The sequence below is a fragment of the Homo sapiens genome, chromosome 4, assembly GCF_000001405.40.
Source record: "Homo sapiens chromosome 4, GRCh38.p14 Primary Assembly".
Taxonomy (NCBI): domain Eukaryota; kingdom Metazoa; phylum Chordata; class Mammalia; order Primates; family Hominidae; genus Homo; species Homo sapiens.
In genome coordinates, this window is record NC_000004.12 from 60,251,103 (window position 1) to 60,258,653 (window position 7,551).

Here is a 7,551-nt window from a genome sequence, read left to right on the forward strand (position 1 = left end):
TGCCAAATATAACCAATATAACTTTTTTGCTACTTTTGTGCTCTAGTATTAAAAATTCCAAACAACAACAACAACAAAAAAGTAAGTCCTTGGTAGGACATCTTACTATACACAATCACACATATATGTGTACACACACATGTATATACGTATATATAAACACACACATTCAAATACACACACATATAACAAGAAATAAAATTTTTGTAAAGACTTTTGTTTCCTTGGTGTGCCCATTATACAACTTTGAAACACTTCCTTTCTGTAAATTGCACATTGAGAACATTTATTTCAAATGTTATTTGTACTCTAGATTCTGTGTAAGTGATTTGTGTGTATTATTTTAGTGCATACTTAAAAATGTTATGAACTAATAATTTTCATTAACTACATTTTACAGATGAGAAAACTGAGGCTGAAGGTGATTAATTTAGGAGCAAATTCTCAGAGCTATTATTGGCAGGTCAGTATTCTTTCAGAAATTTTTCTGAATCTAGAATCGGTGCTAATAACCTTTACGCTGCTTTCTATCACTTTGCAGTTGGTCCTATGTTGCTTCAGATTTTATGATTTTTCATCCTTCCAAATGAAAAAAGTTATTTTTGGTTTCCTTTTAACTAAAGAGAAAATTTGCCGGGCAAGGTAGCTCACATGTGTAATCCCAGCACTTTAGGAAGCTGAGGCAGGCGGATCCCCTGAGGTCAAGAGTTCAAGTCCAGCTTGGCCAACATGATGAAACCCTGTCTCTACAAAAAATACAAAAATTATCTGGGTGTGGTTGTGCATGCCTGTAATCCCAGCTACTCGGGAGGCTGAGGAAGGAGAATCACTTCAACTTGGGAGGCGGAGGCTGTAGAGAGCAGGGATTGTGCCACTGTACTCCATCCTCGGTGACAGAGTGAGACCCTGTCTCATGAATAAATAAACAAATAAATAAATAAATAAAATTAAATAAAGAGAAAATTTTCTTTGCTTTTTCTTGTTTTTGGATTCCGCCATACCAACCAAAGTAGTTCAATCACTTGTTACGTAGATACATTTTATTATCTTATTATGTATTAGCCTGATAGTATGGTTCTGAGTTGTGAACCCATCTTTTGAAAGGCAAAATAAATAAGTAGAGGCCTGTTTTTACAATTAATTGCTTGTGTAACTTTGGACATGTACTAATCCATTGAAATTATTTAGCACTCAGATTCCATATCTCTAAATGTCTAAGATGAAGGTATTATGTTCCCAGTATCTTTTTATTCCAAAATTCTGTGTTTTTATGCAGTGTTTCATATATAAAAATTACTTGTTTAATTAAGAACCAGCATCCTCACAAAACGAATTGAGTTTATTTTTATTTTTATTTTTGCCAAACATTTACCAATGTGCTTAGAAATACTGGGAATCAAGTTAATTTTGTATGTTCTTTTATTTGTAATGGGTTTTTTAAAATCATTTAAATCCAATCTTTCACTTATCCTTACTTTATCTGGGAGACAACTATGCAACTTGAAATTTTAAAATAATTTTAAGCATGATTTGTTTAGGATATGCTTAAATATTAAGGCAGTTGATTTGTAAAATAGCAAAGTGGTAGGGAATAATTAATGTTTTTAAATAACATTTTAATTGATAAAACAGTGTTTAGAAGTGCATTTTTTGAAGTTCAGGAATTTGAAGTTCTTTTCAAATATTTTATTACCATGATATTATGAATTTTTGATATAAAAACATATTACGGAACATATTAGCAGGAAACTTTACCTTTATAGAAAAAACAATTGCTTGTATTGTATTTTTAGTATAGAATAACAAATAGATGTATAACAGAGAAAAGAGAACAGTTTGCAGAAAACTATTTTAGAAAACAGATTTGCATGTGTCCATGATAATACATATTGTTTTTCATTTTACTGTATTTAAGCTCAAGATAGTTGATGTGATGTAGAGTGTGTAAAAGGTTATGTTCAAACAAACAAGCCTAAATTTCACGTAATTCGGACTTACTGGTTAATTCAACAACTTTTTATTGATTTTGTTTATTGTGATAGGCTTTGAGTAAGCGAAATTAGAACAGAACTGTTCCCAGCCTAATAGACATATTTACCACTTAGTGGATGCAGTTGCTTTACTAAATTTTACATGCATTTTCTCAACTAAACCTTTTATCAATGTGATTACAATTATTATCCTAATTTTATGAATATTAAAACTAAGGGACATATCCAGAATATGCAAGAACTCTTAAAGTTCAACAAAACTTAAAGAAAATTGGAAAATATTTAAAATGAGAAAAAGATATGAACAAAGAGCGCACCAATGAACATAAAAACGGCAAGTACGTGAAAATATGCTTAACATAATTTATGACTAGGGAAATACAAGTGCCTGTATCAAAACTCCTCATGTACTACATAATTATATACACCTACTATGTACCCACAAAAATTAAAAATTAAAGAATTTAAAAATGCAATAAATTACTATTACGCACATAACAGAATGAGTAAGATCCAAAATAAAACAAACATATAACAATACCAATTGCTGATGAGGAAGTGGAACAACAGGAATTCTCACTGCTGGTGAGAATTAAACCTGGTATGGCCACTTTGGAAAATTGTTTAACGGTTTCTTACAAAACTAAATGTAATGGTACCATAGATCGTGCAGTCACACGCCTAGATATTTGCCAAACTGATTTAAAATTTAACAACTACGGAAAACCCTGCAATGAGTATTTACAGCAACTTTATTCAAAATCACCAAAAACAGGTAGGGACCACAATGTCTTTCAAGGTGAATCGATAAACTGTGGTACATCCATATAATTAAATACAATTCAGTGATAAAAACAAATGCGCTATAAAGCCACAAAAAGACATAGATGCACTTAAATGCATATTGCTAAATAAAATACTGAAAAGGCAATATGTTGTTTATATAAAAGTTTTTTTTAAAAAACAAGGCTATAAAAATAGTAAACAGATTAGCGGTAGTCAGGGGTTTGGGGTAGGGGAAGTGAGGAAACAGAAATAAACAACTGAAGAAAAACAGATTTTATAAGGACAATGAAATTATTCTGTATGATAATTCAATGTTGAATACATGAGTCTGCATTTGTCAAAACTCATGTAAATTAACAGTGTTGTGAGTAAATCATAATATTATATATTTTCCTTTAATTAGGAGACAAAATGGCTTTATTGGTGAATTCTATCAAATATTTACCATGATTATTTAAATATTCTCCTAAGAAACAGAAGAGGAGGAAATACATTCCAACCCATTCCCATATCCAGTATTACCATAATACCAAAACCTGACAAAGATATCACAAGATAACTACAGACCAATACCCCAATGAATATTAATGCAGAAGTCCTCAATAAAAACTACCAATATGAATTCAACAGCATGTAATAAATATTATAAACCTCGACCAAGTGGGATTTATCAAAGGGATGACAGCTTGGTTCAAAATAAGAAAATGAATCGCTGAAAACACCATATTCACAGAATCAAGGTTGGTGTCAGGGGTGGGAATCGATCATCTCAATAGATGCAGAAAAATAACTGACGAAATCCAATACATTTTCATGACTGAAAAAACACTGTGAAAAGTGGAAATAGAAGAATTTTCTGAAAAGCAAGGTCATGCTTATTTCTGAAAGAATGAAAACCTTTTCTCTGAAAATCAAAAAGAAGACAAGGATTAGAAGACTACCTTTATCATTGCTTTCAAATAATGTATTGTAACTTCTAACTAGAACAATAAGGCAAGGAAAAGAAATAAAAGAAATTTAGATTTTAAAGGAAGAAGCAAAACTATCTCTATTTGCAGATGATACTCTCTTATATACAGAAACCTCCCAAAATTCACAAAATCTATCAGAACTAATAAATCTGTTCTACAAAGTTGCAAGTTATAAGCTCAATATTTTTAAATGGTGTATTTTGATACATTAGCAATAAATGATGTGAAAATAAAACTAAGAAAACAAACAATTTTATTTCCATTGGCATCAACAAGAATAAAGTATTTAGAAATAAATTTAACCGAAGAAGTGCAAGATGTACGGTGAAGGCTTACGCAGTGACAAAAAAATGTTGAGATAAATAATACCTACCTAAATGAAAGGCATATTTTATTTATTGTTAAGATGAAAATACTTCAAAAACTGATCTGCAGATTTAATGTAATTCCTATCAAAATTCCAACTACCTTCTATTTTCTCAGAAATAAAAAAACTTAACTTGAAATTCATAATGAAATTCAAGGAGCCCAGCATCAGCAAAACAATCTTGCAAAGGAACGAAGTTGAAGAACTTACACTTCTCAATTTAAAAACTTCCTACTAAACAAGAGTAATCAAGAAAAGATAGTAGTGACATAAGAATAGACATATAGAGCAATGAAATAGAATTATTTCAGAGATAAATCTTTATGTATCTATAGTGAATTGATTTCAACAAGGGTGCCAAAAATAGTTTATATTCTTTTCAACAAATGCTTCTAAGGGAGGAGACCACCCCTCATATTGTCTTATGCCCAATTTCTGCCTCCAAAGAAAGAAGAAGTAAAAACTAAAGGGTAGAAATGAAATCCACAGGCAGACAGGCCGGCACCACGCCCTGGGCCTGGTAGTTAAAGATCCACCCCTGACCTAACTGGTTATGTTATCTATAGATTCCAGACATTGTATGGAAACTCATTGTGAACATCCCTGTCCTCTTCTGTTCCATTCTAATTACCGGTGCATGCAGCCCCCATTTGATCACGACCCTCTCATGCAGACTCCTTTAGAGTTGTAAGCCCTTAAAAGGAACAGAAATTCGGATTTTGGAGACGTGAACCCGCCGATGCTTCCAGCTGAATAAAGCCCTTTCCTTCTACAGCTCGGCATCTGAGGGGTTCTTGTCTGCGGCTTGTCCTGCTACATTTCTAGGACATCTGAATATCCATATGCAATAAAAGGAAGTTGGGCTTCTACTTCACAACATATGTGAAAATTAAGTCAAAGTGGGTCAAAACCTAAAAATTATTATTTAAACTATAAAACTCTTATAAAATAATATAGCTGTCAATCTTTGTAATGTTGGATTTGTCACTGGTCTTAGATTTGACTCTGAATGTATAAGCAACAACAACATGTAAACAGATAAACAGGACTTGTCAAAAAAAAAAACTTTTGGCATCAAAGGACACTTTCAAGAAAAGACAATCTACAGAATGGGAGAAAATATTTTCAAATATATATCTGCTAAGGGCCTACTATCCAGAATATATAAACACCTCACACATCTCACCATAAAAAGACAAATAATCCATTTAAAAGCAGGCAAAGGATTTGATGGATATTTCTACAGAGAAAGTATCTTAGTGGCCAGTAAGCATATGAACAAATAATGAAACACAGTCAATAAAGAAATGCAAATCAAAATTACAATGAGATATCACTTTATAACCACTATATAGTCAAATAAGTGGAAAATAACAAGTGTTGACAGGGAAGTGAAAAAACTGAAACCCTGATCTATTGCTCATGGAAACAAACTCAGGTGTTCAATAAATTATCATGTCAAAATAACTTAATTTCCATACTTTTCTAAAATAACTTAATTGCCATACTTCTCCACGTATGGTGTTACTTTTATTACAGCCCATTCTCCTTGTTAACTTACATGGACTCTGATTTCCCTGAGAGTTTAATTCAAGTTCTGGAAGGTTTGCATCCTGATGAGGAGTTAGGAATGAACATCTGGTTCTCTGGTTCTTTTTTTTTTTTTTTTTTTTTTTTTGACAGGGTCACTCTGTCACCTAGGCTGGAACAGTGGCACCATCACAGCTCACTGCAGTCTGGAACTCCTGGGCTCTAGCCATCCTCCCACCTCAGCCTCCTGACTAGTTGGGACTGCAGGCACTACAGGCACACACCGCCATGCCTGGCTAATTTTTTTTTTTTTTTTTTTTGAGATGAGTTTTTGCCATGCTTCCCAGAGTGGTCTTGAACTCCTGGGCTCAGGTGATCTGCCCACTGTGGCCTCCCAAAGTGCAGGGATTACAGGGGTGAGCCACCTCACCTGGCCAATATTTGGTTCTTAATACCACCCAGCTGTCATTAGATTGTAATTTTTGCAAAAGCAGAGACTTTGTGTGCATTGTTCACTGCTGAGTCTCACTGTTTATGAAAATGGCACGTAACAGATGTTCACTAGATGATTGTCTAATTAATTAAATCTATGCTAGCATATCCTGAGATGGCCAGTGCTCTTACCGATTCTCTGTCATATTTTTCGGTGAACTAATTATTACTTTAGGGATCTTCCAGCAAAGAATTTGGAAAGTCTCTACATCTTTTTAGGTCATATATGCCCAGAAATGTCATGCATTCTTTCCTGATCTGTGCATTCCTACTATCTCCCAAGGGCGCTTCACAGGAAATGAGAAACAGGTCTCCTTTATGCTCAAATATCAAAAATTTACCTGAGATTTGACCAAGGAACAGGGTACAGAGCCCCTTTCTCTCACACTCAATACCCCTTCCTCTCTTTATTTAGCTTACTGTTCAGAGAATCTTATTCTCTACTAGGGTATGTGGGAAGAGGTGTGGGGAGAAGACTGCTTTCCAGGAGTAAAAGGATTTTTGCTCCTAATATTTTTCTTTTTTTTTTTTAAACTGTAGTTGAACAGTTTTATTTAAAAAGTACATTAATGAACATTAGCTATATTCTGTTGCTAATGGATATAAAGGTAAGAGAAACAAGAGTCTTGTCCTCAGGAAGCCCAGAGTCTAAATAAAATGTTTGTCTATATCTTGTACGGTATGAATATCTGTGATAATTTCATCTAACATTTTTGCTAAAAATCAAACATTGAGAATTAAAAGCCACATTGTTTCCCTCTCTTGCTTTGGCTGTGAGGAAGCATAGAACTCAATGTTATATCAGTAATCATGCTCATTACGATATTTGTGGTAGTTCTTTGTTTTGATAAATTTTTTTTATTATTAAAATTTATTTCCCTTTTATTCTTTTATGGGTACAGACTTTTGAAATCTAAAGTTTTAAATGTGAATCATGTTTTAACTTCTTTTTATTCTTTTGTGCCTTTCTTCAACTAGTGATTAAGCTATGCCTGAATATTTGAATGGGGAAAAGGCAAAGATGAAGGTAATATTAATACTATAAATGAGAAATCGTAAATAAGTAAATTTGAATAAAGGTGTAAGTAACTAATTATATATTTGTATAAACTACCACATACAGGTATGTTACTGTATATGTTTGAGCTACAGGCAAAATAAGTAACACAATAATATTAAAAACTGATGTAAAATCCCCTGTTGAATGATAAAAATCTGTTATTTAATTTCTTTTGCAATATTATTAAGAAAAAATTTAGTTAGAATGCAAAATAAAAGGAAGATAATTTCTGTACCTATCCTCATACATATGTATCTACTACTACAACAGGGATTAACTCCTCTCCAATTGAGAGAGTAATGTCAAAAATAAGGTTAAGATATAGATTCCTTGGCTGCCTTCTACTAATAGAGA